The following is a 26315-nucleotide window of genomic DNA, read 5'->3' on the forward strand; positions in this document are numbered from 1 at the left end:
ATAATATAGAGTTCTGGGATGGCAAATATTTTATGTCAGCACACTGAAAAGATTATTTCATTATCTTATAGCCTTCACTGTCACTGTTGAGAGGTTGGTGTCAGTCTAACTGTCACTCCTCTGAAGTCAATTCTGTTTTTCTTCTCACTGCCTATAATATTTTCTCTTTGGTTTTGATGTCTGCAGTTTCACTGCGATAATGTCTAGATAGGCATTTCTTTTTATTTATCTGGCTTGAGATTCTCAGCCATTATCTTTCCAAATATGACTTCTGCCCTGTTTTTTCTCTTATACTGCTATGGGTTGAAGGTGTTCCTCCAAAATTTAGGTGTTGCCACTGTGAGAGGATTAAGAGGTGGTTAGGCCTGAAGGTTCCGCCCTCTTGAATAGGAGTAGGTGCATTTTTTTTTTTTTTTTTCCTGAGATGGGAGTCTCACTCTGTTGCCTAGGCAGGAGTGTGGTGGCACAATCTTGACTCACTGCAACCTTCGGCTCCTGGGTTCAAGTGATTCTCCTGCCTCAGCCTCCCAAGCAAGTAGCTAGGACCACAGGCACGCGCCACCACATGCGGCTAATTTTTGTATTTTTAGTAGAGACGGGGTTTCGCCATGTTGGCCAAGCTGGTCTTGAACTCCTAACCTCAAGTGATCCACCCGCCTTGGCCTCCCAAACATTTTGAGCTCATTCATAAAAAGGAATGAGGTACTAATTCATGCTGTAACATGGGTAAGCCTTAAAAACATGTGCTAGACACAAAATATCAGCCTTCTTGATTGACACACAGGTCACAGGAGCCTGGGATTACAGGCGTAAGCCACTGCACCCAGCCTCAGATGCCCTTATAAAAGGGCTTATAGGAGGGTGCCAATACTCTCTTGCCCTTCCTCCTTCCACTCTGCAAGGATGCAGTAAAGAGGCCCTCACCACATTGTGCTGCCTTGATCTTGGACTGCCCAGCTTCAAGAACTATGAGAAATAAATTTCTTTTCTTACACACTATAGTACCCAGTCTCAGGTATTCTGTTATAGCAGCACAAAACAGACTAAGACAGGTATCTTTTTGGAAATCCAATTAAAAGTATATTAGGACTCCTCTTCCTGTTTTCCAAGTCTCCTATGCCTGTCCTCCTAATTTTCCGTACTGCATTCTAGATAATTTCTTCAGAGCTATCTCTCAGTCCACAAATGTTCCTTTCAGCTGTGTTTAATCCACTATTTTTACCCATCCACTGTATTTTAGATCTACAATCAGATTTTTCAGAAGTTCTATTTTATACTTCTTCAAATATTCATTTTATTGCCTGTTTTGCATTCATATTTTGAATCTATTCTTTCATTTCTTTAAACATATTAAAACACTGGTTTTAGATTACATATCTGATAGTTCCAATATTTCAAGTGTTTGGAGACCTGATTCTATTGGATATGACATCTATTGGTTTGTAGTCCTCATTCTTTGATAGTTCCAATATTTCGAGTGTTGGAGACCTGATTCTATTGGATATGACATCTATTGGTTTGTAGTCCTCCTTCTTTGATAGTTTCATATTTCAAGTGTTTGGAGACCTGATTCTATTTGATATTACATCTATTGGTTTGTAGTCCTCATTCTTTGATAGTTCCAATATTTCGAGTGTTTGGAGACCCGATTCTATTGGGTATTACATCTATTGGTTTGCAGTTCTCATTCTTTGTCTCTTCATATGTTTTTTAAGATTTTTTGTGTGTGATCTGATGTTACTTGGCACTTTATCTCTGGAAATTCTTTAAGGGATAGGTTGAAGATGCATTCTTCCACAGAAGGGCACACCCCGTCCAGGATTACTCAAAAAAGTTCCTTGCCCGAAACTTTTCAGACCACATAGCATGAATTCAAGGACAGACCCTCATGCAAATCAACTTGTAATTACAATTTTCCCCTTATTCACTCAGCACCAGTGTTGAAATAGGTGGTTTTCCTCAGTGTACCCTTTTGTGATGAAGGTTTATATTTGTAATCACTGAGGATGTAGGGTCCCAACTTTGTAGGCGATGGTCCTTTGTTAAGTCCTTCCACCTTGGGAAGGCCTTCTAGGCTTTGTCTCTTGTCTCCATACTCCAAATGGCAAAACTGAATACACAAATTCACCAGGATTTGGCCAATACCCTCAGGGAGAAGCTGACTTTGTAGAATGCTCCCTTCTCTAGATCCCAATTTTTACTCTATGTTTGGCCTCTGAAGATTCCAGCTCAGTAATGTATTAAAATGTACGTACATATTTTGCCTTTTATCCAGCATTTTAATTATTTTCAGTAGAAGTGTTGTTCATGGTATATAGCCTACCGTATTGCTAGAAAAAGAAGTCTCTGTTCGCTATAATGTATTGTCTCCAACAACAAAGATAATTCTGCTTCACGAGTAAATCAGAAATCTTTCAAAGTTAGTTTAAATGTTTAGCCTTTTATGTTTAAGAGAGTAACTCATGATCTCTTTCATCTCAAATTTATTAGACAAGTTTCACAATAAGGAAAAAAAGGCTCTCCTGCTTTCAGTTTTTCCAGTTCTTTAGCTTTCCCAACAAAGACTATTCATATTAGTTTACTGTCCACCCAAGAACTTTATCCATAAAATTGGGATGGTTTTATGTCAAGAACAAGAATATGCAGCTTACAAGACAAACTGTCATTCTTTTGAAAGAGCCTGGAAATCATCTTAGTCCCCACTTAGCACTAACTAAAGAGAGCACAGAGAAGTTCCACATCATGGAGGGGATGATACTGTGTCACTCTTGCTGGAGCTGCTGCACTCATTCATTTTTTTTTAAGACCAAGTCTCACTCTGTCACCCAGGCTGGAGTGCAGTGGTGCGATCTGGGCTCACTACAACCTCTGCCTCCTGAGTTCAAGTGATACTCCTGCCTCAGCCTCCCGAGTCGCTGGGATTACAGGCACGCACCACCACACCCAACTAATTTTTGTATTTTTAGTAGAGATGGGGTTTTGCTACGTTGGCTATGCTAGTCTCGAACTCCTGACCTCAGGTGATCTGCCCACTTCGGCCTCCCAAAGTGCTGGGATTACAGGCACGAGCCACCATGCCCGGCCATCTTTTTTTTTAATTGTGATAAACATGTACAAATAACATAACCATTTTTAAGTGTGTAGTTGAGTAGGTGTTGAGTATATTCACATTGTTGTGCAAAAGATCTCTAGAACATTTTTATCTTGCAAAATCAAAACTCTACACCCATGTACATAAATTCCCTATCTCCCCCTCCCCACGACACAAATTCTTACACCTAAACTGCATCAGTGATGCATCCGTCATAAAAGCCATGATACCAGAATTTTCTAATAATTCAGGATCAAATTTAATTTTTTTAATCCCCTTAGGAAGGTCAGTTATTCATTCTGTGATTTTGTCCATATTTTGTTTATATTAAATACAGTTTTCTCTGATCAATTGATATTAATTGGCTTTTGTGGGTTTTTTTTCAATGAACTAGATAGTGTATTTATAATTTCAACTTTTATTTTTTATTATTTTTATTCTTTTGAGACAGAGTCTCACTTTGTCACCCAGGCTGGAGTGCAGTGGCACAATCTTGGCTCACTGCAGCCTCCACCTCCTGGGCTCAAGTGATCCTCCCACCTTAACTTCCCGAGTACCTGGGGCATGCCACCATGCTCAGCTAATTTTTAAGTTTTTTGTAGAGATGAGATCTCACTATATCGTCCAGGCTGGTCTCAAACTCCTGGGCTCAAGTGATCCTCTCACCTCAGCCTCCCAAAGTGCTGGGGTTATAGTGTGAACCACCACGCCCAGCCTCAAGTTTTATTTTAGATTAAGGAGTTACATGAGCAGGTTTGTTACATAGGTATACTGCCTAATGCTGAGGTTTGGGGTACAAATAATCCTGTCACCCAGGTAGTGGGCATAGTACCTAATAGTTTTTCAGCCCTTGCCCCCATCCCTTCCCCCTCTAGTTGTCTGCTGTGTCTGCTGTTCCCATCTTTATGTCCACATGTACCCAATGTGTAGCTCCCACTTGTAAGTGAGAACATGTGGTATTGGTTTTCTGTTCCTGCATTAATTTGCTTAGTATAATGGCCTCCAGCTGCAAAAGACATGATTTCATTCTTTTTAATGGCTGCATAGTATTCCATGGTGTATATGTACCACATTTTAAAATTCAATCCACCATTGGTAGGCACCTAGGTTGGTTAATTCCATGTCTTTGCTACTGTGACTAGTGCTGCGATGAACATATGAGTGCATGTGTCTTTTGGTAGAATGATTTGTCTTCCTTTGGGTATATACCTAGTAATGGGATTGCTGGGTCCAATGATAGTTCCAAGTTCTTTGAGAAATCTCCAACTGCTTCTCATAGTGGCTGAACTACAAATTTAATTCTTATATATAATTGGTTACACAACTCCTGAGGAAATGAAGCTTATTCATTTAGAGTCAGATATAAGTAAATATTTTTATTACTAAAACAATATTTCCTAAATCATACACTAAAATAAATAATTTTACTGCTGATTGAGACATTAAAGGTCAAACTCCAACCTGCTCATGTTGCAAAAAAAAAAGAGTCCCATGCTTTATGCAAAAACTATGAAATATTCAAGTAGTTCATACAAAGATCTTTTTTTATTATTTCTAGCCACGAAAACATCATCACTTTCCAATAACAACATTAAAAATGTATAAAAACCTACAAATTTTAAATTTGGCATCTTAATATTTTACTTCAAAATTAAATTCCATTAATTCCAATTTTAAATATATTGCATGTAAACTATTTTTGTCTGGTTTTAATTTGCTGTGTTTACATTTTATTACAGTATCATTCCTCTTGTTTTGAAATACATCCTATATAGATGCTAAAATCTTCCCTAAATAAAACTTGACTGGATTAATTCCATTAAATTCCATATGGACAAGTTCTACAAACTCATCTTCCATATATAGCTGTTGATATGATTAGTTCCAATGGCTTCACGTCATAGCTCTTACTCATCATTTCAAATTTCACATTTTCACATGAGCAAACCAAACACTTACCTCTTTATACCATTTATATATAGGTCAATTCCACCAAACCTGGACAGAAAGGCAAGGTACGGTACAGTACCAGAGGTGCTAAGGGGGATCTACAGTCAAGGGAGAAGAATGACAACATGTTAGAGAATTAAGATCCAAGCAATAGACGGTAAAGCAGATTTCTAAATCACAGCTCTCAGGATGTAACAGAGAATACTATTAACAGGACGAGCATTCCATTAAACATTTAAATACAACTGCTTAACCCAGGTGTCACGGTGAACATGCATTCTCAGCAAATAGAGTGTAAATAGCACCCTAGAATGCCAGTCTGTGCCCAACTGAAAGTCGAGTTATCTACAAAATTATTTAAAATCGCCTAAAAAATAAGCATAAATATACTCTATATATACTCTAATATGTGTTACACATATAATACATATTAGAAGCTGAGGCCATAGCACAATTTTATACTGAGTGTCACGTGAACTTTGTACACGAGTTTGTACATACAGTTTTAAGGTAGAAAAAAATCCATTTTTAAATTAAAAATTCCACAAAGGATATCATTGGGTCAAGTGGGTCAATACAGACTGTAGATTAAATAAAAGTATTATCTCAATGTTTAATTTGCTGACATTGATAGGTGCACTGTGATTATGTAAAAGAATAGCTCTTAGGAAATGTACACTGATGTTTTTGGGGTAAAGAACTATGATACAAGCAACTTCCCCTCAAGTGTTTTTTGTTTGTTTTTGTTTTTGTTTTTTGAGATGGAGTCTCGCTCTGTCACGCAGGCTGGAGGGCAGTCACAGAATCTCGGCCCACTGCAACCTTCGCCTCCCCGGTTCATGCAATTCTCCTGCCTCAGGTTCTGGAGCAGCTGGGACTATAGGCACACATCACACCCAGCTAATTTTTGAATTTTTAATAGAGATGGGGTTTCCCCAGGCTGGCCAGGATGGTCTTGAACTCCTGACCTCAAATGATATGCCTGCCTCAGCCTCCCAAAGTACTGGGATTACAGGCATGAGCCACCACACCTGGCCCCCCTCAAGTGTTTTTAAATATATATATATGTGTACATTGTTTGTGTATGTTGTGTGCATACACATACACACAGATAATGAGAGATCACAGAAGAAACAAATGAGGTAAAATGTTCACAATAGGTCAATCTCAATGAGGGTATATGGGCATTATTTGTACCATATGAGTGCTATTTGTACTTTTCTTATTCTTGCAACTTTTCTTTTTTTGAGACTCTGTCACCCAGGCTGGAGTAAAGTGGCAGGATCTCAGCTCACTGCAAACTCTGCCTCCCGGGTTCAAGCAATTCTCCTGCCTCAGCCTCCCGAGAGCTTGGGACTACAGGTGTTCACCACCACACCCGGCTGATTTTTGTATTTTTAGTAGAGACAGGGTTTCATCAAGTTGACCAGGCTGGTTTCCAACTCCTGACCTCAAGCGATCCACCCACCTGGCCTCCCAAAGTTCTGGAATTATAGGCGTGAGCCAATGTGCCTGGCCTATTCTTGCAACTTTTCTACAGGTTTAAGATTATTCCTTTTATTTATTTATTTAATTTTTTTTTGAGATGGAGTCTCATTCTGTTGCCCAGGCTAGAGTGCAGTGGCACAATCTTGGCTCACTGCAACCTCCACCTCCTGGGTTCAAGCAATTCAGTTTGAGATTATTTCTAAGCAAAAAGTTAAATTTTATTTAATAAAATATTTCCAAAGAAGCATTATGAATCTAAAATTTAGATAAACATTAAATAAATATACAATCAATATAAATCTATTTCATCAAGCTTCACACAAATACACAAAGTACAATTTCCCATACAGCTGAATGGCTCCCAACTCTACACAATCAAATCTGTTATTTACTAAGCCCTTAAAATGCCGGCCTCAAAGCCTGGCATGGTTATTGCAGTCTTCTCCAAAGGATGGATTGCTGTTTACTATTTAAAACATGTGTAACTAGGAAATGAGACCAGTGGAGAGGGGCTCACAGGGTGGGCCTCTGTAAAGCCTTTTCCTGGAAAGAATGCCTGTGACTTCTTTTCTGATAATGCATTTTTAAGTAGATATAATTTTGAGCAAGCATTTCAGTTTCCCTAGCCTTGCAGAAGAAGGGCAAGAGCAGATTAAACATGTAGTTCAAGGTTGGGTGCCCTCCTGGTTTTGGAAGTGATAAGAGGAAATGAGGAAGAGAAGAAACTTACATTTGCAGAGCTCACACTGACTGGATGCAGGCACTATTCTCAGTGTTTTACATGAGTAGCCCTAAAACCACCCTCAGAGGTGGTGTCACTTTCTACAACTCACAAAGCAGAGGTATGGCCTCCCTGCCCGGCACCGCCATGAGTGCCAGCGATCTCTGTGAATCCAGAGTGCAAGTCCATCCCACTGCACTAACCACCCTACCCATGAAGAAAAAGACAGCCCGTCAAATTATTCAAGCTTTCATTGCATTTCATATTGCTACTTATAGTCTAACACAAATTCTAATGTGGTAAAGAAATTCTTGCGATGATAGTCTCCAAAGCTAAGCCCCTTAGACAAGTAAAGAATCTAGTCCAAAGGGAGAGGCTCTGCTCAGTACTTGCCTTTTGGTGTTTACAATTCTGGCAAAATGTTTAAGAATCAAAACCATCTATAGACGAATTGCTGAAAGCGAATTCTTAAGGGTGGGGCTGGAGGAGGCTAGTTTTTAGATCAGTATCCGTCATTGTGATAAGTATCTTGCAAGAAGACATTTTCTCCAACCTGGCACAACCACTGGGATGAAAACACAACTTTGTTTTCCTTCTCTGGAATCAATTTACCAATTCAACTTCTTTTAAATGGCCTCCATTAATATTCAGGGACTGAGGCCACATTTTTATAAAACACCGAGTCTGCATCACTCTTAATGGAAACAAAGGTACGGAGCAGATTGCAAGAAAAACCTCCTCATACTTCCTGCCCTGGTCAGTCATTAAAACACCCTGACACTCAAACATTCCTGACACAGGTCTTCAAATAAAATTGAAGCTAAAGTAAATTCAGACTATAACTGGAAAATTCTTTCCCAACTTTAAGGGGAAATTACCATGAAATCTTTTACTCATTTTGTAAGTGTCCAGTTAGGCTTACATTAACTACTAAAAAAGAAAGAGCATGTATCACCAAATGGATTCATCATAGAACCATCTAGAAAAGCCACAGATGCTGGGAAGTCTGTGGATAGAGAAGGGAAGCCATGCCCTTCATTCCCAATGACCTTGGCCTCCTGCAATGTGCCACACTCCAGCCTCCTTGATTGACACACATGTCACAGGAGCTTAAGGTTCTGGGAATCTTACTTGTCATTTAGGACAGACTATCAAGACCTGTTTTTTAAAAAGTCTTTGAAGTTCTACAGTTCTCAGTGGCTTCTTTTAAAAACAGATGTAGCTTTTAAAAACAGATACACATTTCATATTTTCTGTACTTTTGCTCTTCCTGCATAACTGATTAGCTTGGGAAGATTGTCAAAATTTTAAATTAACATTAGATCATGACTATAAGGACACATAGCAGGAAATAATATTTTAACTCTCCATTTGGCATAAAGTATCACTTAAATCAAGTTTATGAGGAAACTGATACAATGTTTACAAGGATGAATGTTCTTTAAAAGCAAAAGAACACTACCATATGACATGGCAGTTCTCCCCTAGGTATGTACCCAAGAGAACTGAAAACATATGTTCACACGAAAACCTTTCACATGAATGTTCACAGCAGTGCTATTCACAAAAGTCAAAACGTGGAAACAACTCAAAGGTCCATCAGCCGATCAAAGGGTAAACAAAATGTGGTCTATCCATACAATGGACTATTACTCAGCCATAAAAAGGAATGAGGTACAAATTCATGCTGTAACATGGGTGAGCCTTAAAAACATGTGCTAGACACAAAAGATCATATCTTGTATGACTCCATTGATATGAAATATCCAGAATCTATAATGACAAATCTATGGTGACAGAAAGTACATTAGTATTTGCAGATACAGTGGAAAGGAAATGGAGAGTAACTGCTAAGGAGGACAGTTTCTTTTTGGAATGATGAAAACGGTTTTCAATTAGATAGTGGTGATGACTGCGAAACTCTATGAATATATGAAAAACACCAATTTATACATGTTTAAAGGGTGAATTTTATGATACGTAAATTATACCTTAATAAAGCTGCTATTAAAAATGTAGACAGCAATAAAGGGTGATGTGGAAAAAATCAAATGCACTATTTTATCCATTATTATAGAAGTAAATAAAGGGGAAATTTTTTTTTAAGGGAAGAGAAAAGTTCTGTCTTCCTCCTCCTTTTCTATCTTTTCTAACAATTCAGTCCTAAAGTCATCAGATGGGACAGAGGAAAATGACATCACAGTGTTGGAGGAGCCATCAAAGCCCAGAGGAGGATATGGGGTGAGGAGGGCATCATCATAGTGGGGTGTCAGTGCCCATGAGGGTGCTAGAGTGCATTAGCGTGATCGTGGCTCACTGCAACCTCCAACACCTGGGCTCAAGGTGAGCTAATTTTTTTTTTTTTTTTAGATGGAGTTTTGCTCTTGTTGCCCAGGCTGGAGTGCAGTGGCACCATCTCGGCTCACCACAAACTCTGCCTCCCGGGTTCAAGCAATTCTCCCGCCTCAGCCTCCTGAGTAGCTGGGATTACAGGCATGTGCCACCATGTCCATCTAATTTTTTTGTATTTTTAGTAGAGACGGGGTTTCTCCATGTTGGTCAGGCTGGTCTCGAACTCCAGACCTCAGGTGATCTGCCTGCTTTGGCTTCCCAAAGTGCTGGGACTACAGGCATGAGCCACCGTACCCAGCCAAGGTCAGCTAATTCTTAAATTTTCTGTAGAGATGGGGTCTTCCTATATTGCCCAGGCTGGTCTTGAACTCCTTGGCTCAAATGATGCTCCCACCTCAGCCTCCAAAGCATTGGGATTACAGGCGTGAACCACCACACCTGACCTACTCACAGTATGCTTCTATTAGCTCTGTTCTGAAATATTATCCAAACATACTCAAATATGAACAGCCAGGGAAATAAGACCCCTCTCAATGGAAAAGACCATCAATGCAGGTCAACCTTGAGGTGACTAACATGTGAAAATTACTAGACAAGAACTTTAAAGCAGCTATTTTAACTATGTTCAATGAGTTGAAAGACATATGCTCATAACTGCAGAAAAACAGAAAATCTAAGCAGGTAAAGAGATCATAAAGAGGAATTAAATGGAAATTCTACAACTGTAATATACAATGTCTAAAAGTAAAAATTCAAGGGATGGGGCTAACAGCAGAATGAAGATGATAAGAGTCGGTGAACTTAAAGACAGATCAATAGACATTATCCAATCTGAATGATAGAATAAAACTTTTTTTAATGAACTGAGCCTCAGGGGCCAGTGGGACAATATCAAAATGTTTAAGAGAGGAAAGAATGGGACAGAAAAAAATTTGAGAAAATTATGGCTCAAAACTTCACAAATTCAAAAAAAAAGACAGAATTAAAAGGAAGAGAAAACTTTGAAACAGAATATGGTATGCATAAGAAGAAACAACAAATAGAACTGTACTTTTTTTTAATTTTAAGTCAGAAAAAAAAAAGAGAGAGAGAGAGAGTCAGTCCTTGAAGTTAAGACTAGAATTTGGGAATGCCTGAAATTCATTGAGCTATTTGTTTTGATAACAGATCATTCCCCTGTGTTGGAAGTATACACAGTGGGTTGTAGTACACAGCAAATTCTAAAAGAAGTAAGTTTTTAAATTGCTAGGAGGTAGCATCAAGTCAGACTCTGATTAAGAACTAATGAATGAGGCCAGGCACGGTGGCTCACCCCTGTAATCCCGGCACTTTGGGAGGCCAAGGCAGACTGATCACTTGAGGTCAGGAACTCGAGACCAGCCTGGCCAACATGCAGAAACCCCGTCTCTACTAAAAATTTAAAAATTAGCTGGGCATGGTGGCACATGCCTGTAATCCCACTATTCGGGAGGCTGAGGCACAAGAATCACTTGAACTCTGGAGACGGAGGTTGCAGTAAGCCAAGATAGCGCCACTGCACTCTAGCCTGGATGACAGAGTGAGACTCCATCAAAAAATAAAAAATAAATTAATTAATTAATTTAAAAAAACTAATGAATGAGTAAATACATATATACTTGTCTGTGTGTGTGCATGCATGTGTGTGTACAAATTTAGTTATTGGGTTAAATGGAATACTAATGATATTCTAGCCCAAATTTTCTACTTTTGATCATTACAGACTGATTTTGAAAGGGTTTGACTCCTACTGCATTTCATATTCCTTTTTTAAGGCCCCCAAGGATACAGTCCACAGATTTTTACTCCTTTCATCCCCCTGGTGTGGCACACCACCAGGTGGCCAAGGGCCTTCATCCTCCACATCCCTCCCCATGTAACTGCATCACCCCTGCTGCAAACCCTTCACCGGCTCCCTACAGCCTCTAGGATAAATGTCGAACTGTTTTACGAAGTACTTTTCTGAATTGGCCCTTCTGGCCACAACATGACCCATATCCCTTCACTTCCGATAGAAGTCACAGAACTACCCAGGTCCCTGAGTAAGCATGGCAGGCGGATGCAGGCATCCAAGCTTTCACACAGGCTGTCCCCTCTGCTATAATGACCTTTCCTTCCCCTCTCATCTCGAGAATACTCACTCCTTCGTCAAAACTAAGTTAAATGCCCCTCGTCCAGAAAGCCTTCCTGGACTACCTCTCCTCATTTTCAGATAGCTCTCCCTCCAGTAACTCCCAGCCACCCTGTCGTGGCCCCTCTCCCAGCACTTGCCAACACTCCGTAAGTGTCTCACTGGGCTGGGAGCTCCTCAAGGGCAGGGCCTGAGTCTGACTTATCTGCACCGCAGTGTCTAGCATTGGCTCTAGCATAAAGCCAATGCTCCGTAACTATTTGATGAAGGGAAAAAATGCCAAAATACTAAGTTCCAAAATAGAAGTTGACCCAAATACATTTATATGGACCCTTAAAAGAAATGAAAAGAAGGCCGGGTGCAGTGGCTCATGCCTGTAATCCCAGCACTTTGGGAGGCCAAGGCAGGCAGATCACCTGAGGTCAGGAGTTCGAGACCAGCCTGGAAACATGGTGAAACCCCATCTCTACTAAAAATACAAAATTAGCCAGGCATCATGGTGGCCCACGCCTGTAATCCCAGCTACTCAGGAGGCTGAGGCCAGAGAATTGCTTGAACCTGGGAGGCGGAGGTTGCGGTGAGCCAAGATCACACCATTGCACTCCAGCCTGGGCAACAAGAGTGAAATTCTGTCTCAAAAAAAAAAAAAAAAAGAAAGAAAGAAATGAAAAGAAACTGGCTGGAGCAGCGCTACATGCAAAATATGACCGAGTAGCTGTTGATCGTGATCATCTACATCAGCCTTAATTAACTGAATTATGAAAAACAAAACTTCAACTGCTCAGTGGCAACAGTGGGGACAAAGACAGGAGAGGTTACCTGCTCCCCTGATCTACCTCAGCTTGTCTGGAATTGAGGGATTCTAAGTATGTACAACATACAGCACCTGAGCCAACACGTCCTGAAACTGTTCTCGTGTGAGCGGCATCAGGAAGTCTGTGATGATTCTTCTCAGTTCACTTTTTGACACAGTCAAGTTCTGACCAGTATCCAGCAGCTGAAAGGCTTTTTGCAACTCATCCCCTCTGTCGGTAATTTTTTGAAATAAAATCCGTTTAACATCTAAGGAGGACAGTGTTGGATTTGCAACAGCTGTGGCTATAAAAGAGATACAGCTATTTATTAAACATGTTTAAAGCCAAGATACTAAACAGAAACTCTTGCACTGTTGAACGGAACCAAGAAAACTTATTAGATGGTATTTCTCCCACCATATCTAGGTTTACGTGTATCACCGTTAGATGACTTGTAATGAAAAATCTACTCGGTCATCTTTCAACTCTGAAATTTGGTCAATATAGAATAATAGTAATCACAATAGTAAGAAAAAAAAAGAGAATCTTCCCTGTAAAGGACATAGGTCAGTACAAGTGAAAAACATGGATATTGAAAGAAAATTTAGTCAATATCATTCAAATAAATCTTTAAAATATCATATTCACCTTTCATCCCCTTGCCAATTTTTGAGGGAAAAACATGTAATTCTTAAACCCAGACCATTTCCCTTTCAAAGACAGGGAAGAGATGGACGCTAAAATGCAGATATAAAAATGTTCCGAGGGCTGGGCACGGTGGCTCACGCCTGTAATCCCAGCACTTTGGGAGGCCGAGGCAGGCGGATCACCTGAGGTCAGGAGTTCGAGACCAGCCTGGCCAACATGGCGAAACCCCATCTCTACTAAAAATACAAAATTAGCTGGGTGTGGTGGCACATGCCTGTAATCCCAGCTACTCAGGAGGCTGAGGCAGGAGAATAGCTTGAACCTGGGAGGCTGAGGTTGCGGTGAGCTGGCATCGTGCCATTGCACTCCAGCCTGGGCAACAAGAGTGAAACTCCGTCTCAGAAAAAAAAGAAAAATGTTTTGAGTGGTCTAAATAAGCTTTTGGGTTTTGAACTTTTTGGAAGGAAAGGAATAATGTCTTGACTAACGTTTTAGGTCCCAGAGCTCCCTGTGTCAGCAAAGGAGAGGTGATACACCATAGGCCTCCTTCCCCTCTCCAAGACAAAGACAACTAGAGGAACAATAGGTAGGAAATTACATAGTAAATCCTAGATGTATGTTAAAGGGCTTTAACATTGCCTCATCCTTTATAATAATATTCACAAGCAGCAGCTAGGGAGGGAGGATGCTAGTTCTTTCCCTTTGAATGAAAATTTCTTATCAAGCTATTGCACATTTCTGGCATAAGGACAGTGATAGCTTTAGTCTTGGGGTGACCTGGGCAGGTAAAAGATGCCAAAGATCTCGGTGCACCAACTTGAACCCACCCAGAGGGCAGGCTAGGATTTCCTCAGAGCTGTAGGGTGGGCTGGGCTGTCTTCTGCTTGAGGGGATACAAGAGACAACGTGCAGGCACCCCACAGTGACGCTGCCATGGAGATTGGCTGCAGACCCTAACCCCATGAGCCACAGCACAGCAGGCTCTGGGGGGCACTTCCACGCCACACAGGGACTGCGCTGCCATCGGCGATTCTCCCCCGACACCCACTGAGGGCCCAGCGCACGCAGGGCCTGTGCCGGGGGCTGGGGATGACTCTCGCTCCTGATGCCCACAGCCTCAGGGAGGGAGGTGATTCGGTAACTGGGATGCGGCGGTCCAGTGTGGAGACAGGCATTAGGTGTCTGCAGGGAGCACGGGAGACCTAAACAGAGGATGGCTGGTTTCCGGTGACAGGATGGAAGGTGACAGGAAAGCCCACTCAGTGGAAAGCAACTTGGTGATCCTGAGGGAACGCAGCTGGAAGTGGGGCTGCTGTGGGGCGTGGCCAGCCTGGGCAAAAGGGGGATGGGGGTGGGGACAAGCAGAGCTGCATCGGCCAAGAGATGACGGGAAAAGTCAGCAGGGCCTGTCCTTGGGCTTCACGCTCTGGGGTTATGAGATGGCACAGTGGGACTGTCATCAAAAGAACAACATAACCCTATTTTCATTCTTCACCTTCCCCCTGGTACCACGTGGAGGAGGAACCAAAAGGGAAGGAGAGTGATGGGGTGGAGACAGGCTGGGTGACTACAGCTTCTTAGGAGAGGAGTGACACAGTACCGTACTAGCGTGATGGTCACAGAGCAAAAAGACTTCACATGAATAAAAGAAAGGTCAAGCGGGGAGGTCTACAGACTCCTCTGATTGGAGGGGCCAGGTGAGGGATGGAGAGAGGATGGAACACCTGCGTCTGGCCTGGGTGGCTGGGCAGGGGCAGCACCCTTCACTTAGAAAGGGAAGAGGGAAGATGCAACAGATGGTATTTTCCAAGATGGGAATGGCAAGATCTCCCAACACAATATCATGTTAACACTCCTCCCTGCAAAAGTGGGCATACGCTCCCCACTTGAATCCGGTGGGCCCATGACTATGGCAGAATGGACATCTATCAGTATGATACATGACATGTGTGATCTCCAAGATGAGGTCACGCAAGCTGCTACGGCCTCTGCCTGGTCCTATTTATTTATTTATTGAGATGGAGTCTTGCTGTCTCCCAGCCTGGAGTTCAGTGGCACAATCTTGGCTCACTGCAACCTCCACCTCCTGGGTCCAGGCAATTCTCCTGCCTCAGCCTCCCGAGTAGCTGTGACTATAGGCACCTGCCACCATGCCTGAATAATTTTTGTATTTTTTAATACAGACGGGGTTTCACTATGCTGGCCAGGCTGGTCTCGAACTCCTGACCTCAGGTGATCCACCCGCCTCGGCCTCCCAAAGTGCTGGGATTACAGGCGTGAGCCACCGCACCCGGCCATGCCTGGTCCTCTTTAGATGCTCACACACAGACACCACTTGGCTGTGAGGAGGCCAAGGAGCCACCCTGGCAGGCCACATATAGGAGTTCTGGGCAACAGCCTTAGCTGAGGTTCCAGGCAACAGCTGCATCAACTGCTAGCCATTCGAGGACTCTGGCCCCCGATGTGACATCAGCCCAGCCTCTGCACCTCCCCAGCTGGACTGCATAGAGCAGAGACAAGCTGACCTGCCCAAACTGTGGATCTGTGAGCAAAATAAATGACTGTTGCTATTTCGAGCCACAATGTTTAGGGCATTTGCACACAGCAATAGATACCTGGAACAGAAGAGGAAAAGGCTTATGGAAAGAGAATGAGTTCAGCCTGGGATATCTAAGCGGGATGTCCATCTGAAAGTTGAATACATGCTCTGGAGATAAGAGAGGCTGGAGTGGAGATGCAAGTGTGGGAACCACCTGCATGGAGGCCACAGGGAAACAGGCCCAATGGGAAGAGGAGAAGGGGCCGTGGGAAACACTGACTTGTAAGGAAGTGGAATTGATTCATTCGAAAAATGTCGTATGTCAACAACTATCATATTTCAACCACTGTTTTCAGCCCTGACGGTACTGCAGTGAATAAGACAGGTACAGCTTACAATCTGGAGGTGAGACGACAGACAAGAAGCCAATAAATAAATAAACAAATGATAGGGTCATGGCGCACAGTGACACGTGCAATGAAAATGGAAAGACAAAACAATGAGGCAGAGTGCAGCTGGGGGCTGCTTTAGAGGGGATGGTCAAGGAAGTCTGCTCCAAAGTGGGTTTGTGAGCTGAAACCCGGAAGGATAAAAATGAGCCAGCCAGTCAAGAAGCTGAAGTAAGAATGTCTTCAACAGGGAAACCATAGCAACCAGTGAAGAACCCCTGAGCAAGAAGGAGCTTGATACGTCCATGAAAGAAAAAGGCTGGAGTGGACGGTGTGGCACATAGCAGGTAGGATGGAGAACAGTGAGAGGTCAGGCCAGGGGAGGAAAAGGCCAGTCCACACAGGCTTCAGGCACCTGCAGAAAGGATGGCATTTTCTTCAAAGTGCAATGGAAAGGCTCAGGAGAGTTTAGGGAGGGAAGCAATGTTATCTAATACAGCCTCTGTGTGGGGTTTTAAAAATGTGTTCTGGCTGCTATGTAAAGAATGGATTATAGGGGGCAAAAAATGAGGAAGAGAGACAAGAGAGGAGGCTGCTTCAAGGTCTAGGAGGTAACTGTGGCTTAAACCAGGTGGTAGCCCTGAAGGTAGACAAAAAGTAGACAGATAGGAGACATGATCTATCGGATCTGTAGCTGACAAGGTTTTGCTGATGGATTGGCTGAGGAGGCGTGTGAGGGGTGTTAAAGAAAATAGAGAAATCAAGGATAATCCCTTGGTGCTGGACATGAGCAATGAGATAAATGACAGTGTCACTGCTAAGATGGAGAACACGGGGGAGTCGAGAGACCCGTTTAGCCAGTTCCGGTCTGAGATGCCGGTTAGATGCGGTGCACGCAGAAAGGTCCGCGAGGCAACTGGATATACGATCGGGAGCTTAGTGGGGAAGTGAGGATGGAGCTATCATTTTGGTTACAGGTGGCATTTCAGGACATGGAGCCAGATGACTCACTTAAGAGAGGGCAGACAGGGAACAGAGGAATGAGCACAGCCCTGAGGGGGAAGAAGGAACTTAACCCTCCCACAAGAGTTCCAAGAACACTCAGTAATGCAGGAAGCACTCGGGCTTCCCTTCCATTTCTGGCTGTCACTCAGAATCTCAGAAGCAGCTGATTCACACACAGCAGCTGCGTGCTTCAGTATCAGCCAGTGAGCACTCTTTCTCCCTCTGCCCACCAGCCTGAACATCCTCCTCCTGCCCCCAGTGTCAGAGGGAGATCCCTCTTGTTAATGTACACCTCTGTCTTGAAATCCTCTCTTGGACTTCTCATATATATTTTTAGTTGCTTTCTTAGAAGCCCCACCATTGCAATCAATAATTGTAATTTAAAAGAATCAGAAAATATTGATTTGAGACTATTTTAAAATACGTAAAGGAAGACTTTTTATTCCACGTGCCTAATGCAACGTCTGAGGATGAAAATGAAAGCAGTAACCAACCTTGCAGAACCTGCTGGTGGGAGTACAAATTGATGGAATCTTTCTGGAGGGCAATTTGACAAAATTTTCTATATCCGCTTAGGATATAGAAAGTCACAACAGACTGTCACTGTCACCCTAACAATGAGAACAAGTAGGATAAGCTAAAATATATATATAGTTTTAAAACCCACCAGAGATCTGAGGATGCAAAGAAACTACAATTCAGGAAAGGACAAGCCACTCGTCAGAGAAAAAAGAATGATAACTCCTTCCAGCCCTGTGGCACAGTGGGTAAAAAGCAAATTCGTTACAGACAGGGTAGGAAGAAAACGACCCAGTATTTAGCAGCCACATGAGGCTGACAGATGGATGAGATTCCCAGGGACCTTGGTCACAGAGCAGGTCTGCGCTCACCCTCTTGGGCCTTCCCCCAGTGCAGGTAAGTAGCACTGCACCAAAGGCTGGGGCTAGAGGAGAGCTGAGTGATCCACCCCAGCATGGCACACGAGGTTTTGCACAAGTTCGGGGCAGCTGTTTACCAAAGGCTGAATACAGGGAACAAGAGCTCAGGTGAACCCTCCGAAGCATATGGGCCCTTCACTAAGTGTCAGTGGCCCACTGAAGGTTAAATCAGGGCCACAGGGTGGACACAGATGTTCCCAGGTGCAGAAAGCCACAGCAGAGCTGGACAACAAAGAGGCCTCCCATGAAACCCCCCAAAATGGCAGGTAGGCAGTAAAGCAGAGAGAGATCTCCCCGCCATATGCAAAGCTGGTGGCTGGGCTATAAAGCAGAGAGATCTGTGGAGTCTCACCAGTGCTCACACCTCAAAGACCTGTTGAAGGCAAGCATATGAAACCAGGGGTAACCCAAATTTAACTAAAACTGCAACAAAGTCAAGGCACAGCTTACCTGAGAGATTAAACTGAGCTCACCTCGCTAGAAACCTGAGAGAAGAAGAGGCTTTCCTTTTCTGGTGGTAAATATTATTGACTTCTGTCTCTGCTGTTTTTAACACAAATATCTGGCATTACTTTTTTTTTTTAATTGCAAGACAAGTGAAGAAGAAAAGGTAACTTAATCCAGGTAAAAACAGTCATCAGAAGAACACCCACAGAAAGAATAATGACCAGGTAGAAATGATCAGGTATTCAAACTGAGAATGGGAAATATGTTGGCAAGATGAAAGGGAAAAGCTGAGAACATGGTGAACATATAGGGAATTTCACTAGAGAAATGGAAAGTATTTTTAAAGAGCACATGAAAAAAATCTAAAAATTAAAAATACAATATCAGAAGTTAAGAATTCACTTGTTTTGCTTAGTAGCAGAGTGTACATGCTAGAAAAAAGAACTCGTGACTATGAACTCAGGTCTATAGAAATGATTCAACCTGAAACACAAAGATAAGAACACTTTAAAAGGAAACAGTGTGTCTAATATTTATTTGCTTATTTGATGTATGAGTTATACAAATATATATCTACAGTTATATGTTGTGCATGCGTGAAAAAGAGATCAGCCCAACTGCTGATGATACCCTCTTGTAGAGGAAAGTGGTGCTGGGAGGCAAATATATCTTTAATTTTTAAAAAGTAAAAAAATGCCGGGCACGGTGGCTCATGCCTGTAATCCCAGCACTTTGGGAGGCCGAGGTGGGCGGATCACAAGGTCAAGAGATCGAGACCATTCTGGCCAACATGGTGAAACACCATTTCTACTACAAATACAAAAATTAGCTGGGCATGGTGGCATGCGCCTGTAGTCCCAGCTACTCAGGAGGCTGAGGCAGGAGAATCGCTTGAACCCAGGAGACGGAGCTTGCAGTGAGCCAAGATCGCACCACTGCACTCCAGCCTGGGCAACAGGGCGAGACTCCGCCTCAATAAAACAACAAGAAAAAAAAGTTAAAAAAAACACTCCAGTGCACTAAAAAGTACCACCAATAGAAATAAAAAGCAAATGACAAAAAAGAAAAATACCTGTGGCACTAAGGCAGATAGAAGGTTCACATTTTCAATACAAAGAGAGCTCATACTAGTCACTAAAAAAGACCAACCCAAAGTAGGTAAACAGGCAAAGGATATGAATAGGCAACTCACAAAAGCAAAAGGCATAAGCCTGGTAAACTTGAGAAAAAAAGTTAACCTTACTATTGAGGAAATGCATATTAAATTCACAATGGAATGTTATTTTTCCATATCCAATGGGCAAGATCTTAAAAGACAATCTGTGTTAGGATACTTAGAAATGAGCACTTGTAAGTATCATGAGTGAGAATGTGCTAAGGTGTGAGCTTCCTGAAGGGTAATCTGGTGGTACTCATTAGGAACCTTAAGAGCAGGAACAGGCTGGGTGCGCTGGCTCATGCCTATAATCCTGGCATTTTGGGAGGCCGAGGGGGATAGATCACTTGAGGCCAGGAGTTTGAGACCAGCCTGGCCAACATGGTGAAATCCTGTCTCTACTAAAAATACAAAAATTAGCCAGGTGTGGTGGTGCATGCCTGTGATTCCAGCTACTCAGGAGGCTGAGGCATGAGAATCACTTGAACCTGGGAGGCAGAGGTTGCAGTTAGCCAAGATCATGCCCTTGCACTCCAGCCTGGATGACAGAGTAAGACTCTGTCTCAAAAAAAAAAAAAAAAAAAAAAAAGAGTAGGAACACCTTTTAACCCAGTCATCTCACCTCACTCTAGTCTTCTTTGTACGATCAGAAAGTTAGTTAAATAAAGATATATCTAAATTAGATTGTAGACATGGAGCTATTGAACTGGGATGCATTTATTGCTGATGATGTATTTTGATGTCAGAAACTACTAAGCTAATCCCTAATATCCACTCTCCTCTTTCTCCTTAGAAATAGACCCCTGAGTTTGGGTAGACACACGGTTGTTGGAAACAGTCTCTATTTTGCAGGCTCCCTGGTAGATGCATGGGACCTGGTGGTTCAAGTCCTGCCAGTTGCAAGTAAGCCTGAGTGTCCAGCATGACTGGGATGGCTTCACCCAATTACAAGGCAAAACCTAACTTCTTTCATAAACCCAGCTTCTTCTTTCACAGTGGCCCGCTGATTCCTCAGGCTGTGTTCATGCAGTGCTTTGTAAGTGCGTCTTACGGCATTTGGCTCACGCTACTTGAATTCTTTATCTCCCTCTCTAGACTGTGAGCTTGTCTAGGGCGGGCCTTCTCTCAGGTGCATCTCTTTATTCTTAGCACCTATTACAGTGCCTGTCACATATTATGGCTCAGAAAATGTGGATAAATGAATGAGTAAATGGAGGAACTAATACATGAAATTAAAGGATACGTATTTTTGGAAAATAATAACGTCAAATTCTGTTGCTTTTAAAACTGGTAAGAACTCCAGATGAGTTGAAAACCTATGTCCACATAAAAACCAGTACACGAATGCTTACGGCAGCTTCACTTACAATTGCAAAACACGGAGGCAACCAAGATGTCTATTTATTATTATTATTTTTTTGAGACAGGGTCTCACTCTGACACCCAGGCTGGAGTGCTGTGGCACGATCATGGCTCACTGAAGTCTTGACCTCCAGGGCCTAAGCCATCTTCCCACCTCAGCCTCCCAAGTAGCTGCGACTCTAGGCATGTACCACTATGCCTGGCTAATTTTTTGTATTTATTTCTTGTAGAGACAAGGTCTTACTATGTTGCCCAGCTTGGTCTGGAACCCCTGGGCTCAAGCAATCCTCCTGCCTCGACCTCCGGAAGTGCTTGGATTAACAGGCATGAGCCACTGTGCCTGGTCAATACACGGCATTTTATACATTTGTCTAAAACTAATACAATCTCCACCATCAAGAGTGAACCCTAATGTAAACTAAGAACTTTAAGTAAAAATAATGTTATCAGTATGGGTTCATCGATTGTAACAAATGTACCACAGTAATATGAGATGTTAATTATGGGGAAACTGGGGGTGGGAGTGAGGGGGTGTATGGGAACTTCCTGTGTTTTCTAGTCAATTTTTCTGTACACCTAAAACTGCTAAAAAAAATTAAGTCTACTAATTTACTGAGTGAGTTTTTATATATATAAGCCCCTGAATTCTGGAATCATACTCCCTGGGTTCAAATCCTGACATACCACTTAAAACCTTGTAACTTTTAGGCAAATAGCTTAATCAATCTGTGTCCCAATTTCCCCATATAGAAAACAGGGATAAAAACAGAGCCTAATTCATAGAGTTATTGTGAGGATTAAATGTCATATGAGTCCTTTGAACTAAGCTTGGTACATATTAAATACATATAAGTGATATCTACAGTTAGTGTTCTTATTTGCTCATGAATACTTACTTGAAGAAGATCTGAACTTATTTGGGGAACCATTCCTTGAATATACTCTACACGGTGAAGAATGGGGTCTTGAATGTGTAAATTTTCGTGTGTGAGGATGCGACCTAAGCCAGTCTGGTATAATCGCCATTTTGCACATTAAATCCCTGTGATATAAAAGAAAACAGATTACGTTACCTTAAAGAGCATACATTCCAAATGTGGCCAATTTCCTATCTATTCCTTTTCTGAAGGGACAGCTGCAGAGTGTAAAAATGATGCTAGTCATAATCTGCTTTGCTGATGTTTCAGACTATTCTTAAAGTGAACACAAAAATCATCATTTTGGACTCCTTGTTTTCAGCATATCCAATAAACTTCAAAAACGGCAAAATAAAGAGACTTTTGGACAGAAAAATCCACCTACATCTTGACTATCAGTGACTCATTTCTTTGGTAGGCAGTAAGGGGAAGAAAGTTTGGATTCTCTGAGCTTTTTTGAAGTGCCTCAGTATAAATTCAACATGCAGTCAGAGGCAAAGCTGGGATGACAGGAGCGAAACTGGTGGAGTAAGGACCTCCGAAAATCCTCTCCTTCATTAAATCAATGAGGACACTGGGAAAAATTGTTGAAATCAATTTTTTTTCAGAACTCTGGAAATTAACCAAAGGCTTACAGCAATCTGGGGAGCATTTATTCCCCCAAAATGGCTGAATCTCAATATGAAGAACATGCCTTGTGGCATTTTAACTTGCCTCATTCCCATTCTCCCTCACCTGCCTCCCCCTGCCCCAACAGCTTGGATGTAGCCTTGAAAACCATCAGCCTGCAATCACAGGGAAAACCCAGCAGGCTGACAGTCACTGGAGTGGACAGAACAGGGCTGGAGCTCTGTCAAAGCCTCCTTACCCGGAACTTATCATTATTTGACCTGATGTTTCCCTGAAAGATCCTACTCCCAAGGCTGTCTTTATTTGAACTCAGAGTTCACTCAGTGAACACAGCCTATCATGAAGAGGCATTTGTTAGAAGAAATCAGAGGCAATTGTTGTTTAAAATCATGGCTACCTGAATAGGTGGATAACGGGGCAAATAATAGGCAACCAAAAAGCTTCAAGGGAAAAGCTGGGGAATGAGATGTCGATAGGGACTTGAAAAAGCGCCCACATATTCTTGGGAATCTAGGAAGTCACTCAGTACACAGAGCTAGAACCATTCCCAGGGAGAGGTGTGTGCTCAGGAAAGACCTGAGAAGGCCCTAACCTCTCACCTCCAACTGACCTTCAAGCTCTGCACAAGCAGGAAATGAAGGCTAAGACAGAGTTATAAACTGCCTAGCTAAGTGTTGAAGGAATGCTCCAATACAAAAAGCCCCTCAGCAAAAATTGGGAGATACTGTTCCCAGGCATTTACGGAAATTTCTATCCAACCATGAGCTGACCACTAAGCTAACCAATCAGACTCTAGTGGCCATATATAACAAAGAATACAGACTTTATAAATTTTAGAAAACTCTATAAACAAATGAACAACAAGCAGTTAACAACAACAAAACATGGAAAGGGATGAGAATATGATTTCCACAACTACTACATTATATTATTTAAAATGTCATGGGCCTAGCATGATGTCTCATCTCTGTAATCCCAGCATTTTGGGAGGCTGAGGCAGGAAGTTCAAGACTTGAGCCCAGAAGTTCAAGACCAGACTGGGCAACATACTGAGACTCTGTCTCTACAAAAAAAATAAAAATAAAGAAGATTGACCAGGCATGGTGGCATGCACCCATGGTCTCAGCCACCAGGAGGCTGAGATGGGAAGAGCAGTTGAACCTGAGAGGTTGAGGCTACAGTGAGCCGTGATTACGCCACTGCACTCCAGCCTGGGCAACAGAGAAAACTCTGTCTCAAAATAAATAAATAAATAAAATGTCCAGTTTTCAACAAAAATTTATGAGATGTGCAAAGAAACAAGGAAGTGTGGTCCATACTTATTTTCAGAAACTATGCAAGAAAGAAAAGAGTAGAGTGAAATATTTAACGTGTTGAAATAAAAACCCCACCAACCTAGAATTCCAAACTCAATGAAATTACTCTTCAAAAGTGGATGTGGATGAGAAATACTTCCCTGAGCAAACAAAAATTGAGAGAATGTGTTGCCAGCAGACTTACTTCCAAGAAATGTTAAAAGGAATTCTTCAGAAAGGCAAGGCAAGGTGCAGTGGCTCATGCCTGCAATCTCAGTGCTTTGAGAGGCTGAGGCAGGAGAACTGCTTGAGGCCAGGAGATCAAGACCACCCTGGGCAACAGAGCAAGGCCCTGTCTCTACCAAAAAAAAAAAAAAATATATATATGTGTGTGTGTGTGTGTGTGTGTGTGTGTGTGTATATGTATATATACACATATATATGTGTACATATACACATATATATGTATATATACACATATATATGTGTATATATACACATATATATGTATATGTACACATATATATGTGTATATATACATATACATATATACACACACACACACACACACACACACACACACACACACACACATATATATATATGCCAGGCATGGTGGCATGCACCTGTAGTCCTAGCTACTTGGGAGGCTCACATGGTAGAATCACTGAGCCCTGGCATTTGAGGTTACAGTGAGCTATGATCATGTCACTGTACTCTAGACTGGGTGACAGACTGAGACCCTGTCTCTAAATAAATTTTTTTTAAAAAGAAAGAAACAAAAGAAAATGAAAGAAAGATATATGTCAGAAACTCAGATCTATATTAAAAAAAGGAAGAGCATTTGAGAAAGGGCAAGTGAAGGAAAAATAAACATATATGCACCTAACAAGAGCCCCAATATACGTGAAGCAAAAACTAACTAAATTGGAAAATAGATACTTCAACAATTATAGTTAGAAACCTCAATATCCACATTTAATAATGGGTAGAATAACTAGACAGAAGATCAACAGAGACATAGAAGATCTGAACACCACCACAAACCAACTAGACCTCACAGACAACTAAAGAACACATCCAACCAACAATAGTAGAATATCATTCTTCTCAGCACACATGGATCATTCTCCAGTATAAACCATATCTTGGACCATAAAACAAGCCTCAATACATTTAAAAGGATTGAAATTATCAGAGTATAATCTCCAACCATACAGAATGAAAACAGAAATTGAATAATTCACAAATACGTGGAAATTAAACAACACACTCCTAAATAACCAATGAGTCAAAAAAAAAATCAAAAGAGAAATTACCAAATAGTTTTAGATGGATGAAAATGAAGGCACAACATATAAAAACTTACAGGATGCAGCTAAAACAGTGCTTAGATGAAAATTTGTAGATGTTAATGCCTATATTTTAAAAAGAAGAAAATCTCAAATTACTAACCTGTTTATTCCTTAAGAAACTAGAAAAATAAGAGTAAACTAAAGCCAAAGTTAGTAGAATGAAGAAAACAATAAAGATTGGAGCAGAAATAAATGAAATCAAGAATAGAAAAATAGACAAAACTAATCAAAGTTACTTCAAAAGATTATCAAAATTGACAAATTTTTAGCTAGACCAGCCAAAAACAATGAGAAAACACTCAAATTATTAAAATCAGTGATGAAAGGAGACATTACCACTAACCTTACAGAAATAAAAATGATTATAAGGGAATACTATACACAACTGTATGCTAACAAATTAGGTAACCTAGATATAATGGAAATATTCTTAGGAAGATGTAAGATACTAAAACTGACTAAAGAAAAAACAGAAATCTAGATAGAATTATGACAAAAAGATTGAATTAATAACCAAAAAACTTCCTGCAAAAGAAGTCCAGAACCAGGACCAGATGAGTTCACTAGTAAATTCTACCAAACATTTAAAGAAAAATTCAAGGCTGGGCATGGTGGCTCACACCTGTAATCCCAGCACTTTGGGAGGCCAAGGTGTGTGGATCACCTGACGTCAAGAGTTTGAGACCAGCCTAGCCAACGTGGCGAAACCCCGTTTCTACTAAAAATACAAAAATTAGCCAGGCATGGTGGCGCATGCTTGTTATCCCAGCTACCCGGGAGGCTGAGGCAGAAGAATCGCTTGAACTTGGGAGGTGGATGTTAAAGTGTGCTGAGATCAATTCACCTAACGCTTCACAAATTCTTATGAAAAATAGAAGAAAAAACATTTCTCAACACATCCTATGACGCCAGTATTACCCTGATACCAAATCAGAAAAGACATTAGAAAAAAAGAAAGTGGCCGGGCACAGTGGCTCACGCCTGTAATCCCAGCACTTTGGGAGGCCAAGGCAGGCAGATCACGAGGTCAGGAGATCAAGACCATCCTGGCTAACATGGTGAAACCCCGTCTCTACTAAAAATACAAAA

At 41.6% G+C, this 26315-nt stretch overlaps 1 protein-coding gene across 19 annotated transcripts in view; it reads right to left on the minus strand.

The window, feature by feature from the left end:
- The window catches only part of EFCAB6 (EF-hand calcium binding domain 6), a 283528-nt gene that overhangs the window by 231477 nt on the left and 25736 nt on the right, over positions 1-26315 (minus strand). For 13 of the 19 annotated variants that reach the window (XR_007067980.1, XM_011530317.4, NM_022785.4 and 10 more), the window contains 3 exons: positions 21926-22071; positions 12638-12849; positions 5051-5139 (listed from right to left, as the gene is read on the minus strand). Coding sequence is in view for 15 of the 19 variants with exons in the window: in XM_017028911.3 (XP_016884400.1) it covers positions 5051-5139; positions 12638-12849; positions 21926-22071 (447 nt within the window). In the remaining 4 variants the exon portion in view is untranslated. The remainder of the gene's footprint in view (positions 1-5050; positions 5140-12637; positions 12850-21925; positions 22072-26315) is intronic. The other 6 variants (NM_198856.3, XM_011530321.4, XM_047441461.1 and 3 more) reach the window with 4 other exon arrangements.

This window comes from Homo sapiens, chromosome 22, assembly GCF_000001405.40.
Source record: "Homo sapiens chromosome 22, GRCh38.p14 Primary Assembly".
NCBI lineage: Eukaryota > Metazoa > Chordata > Mammalia > Primates > Hominidae > Homo > Homo sapiens.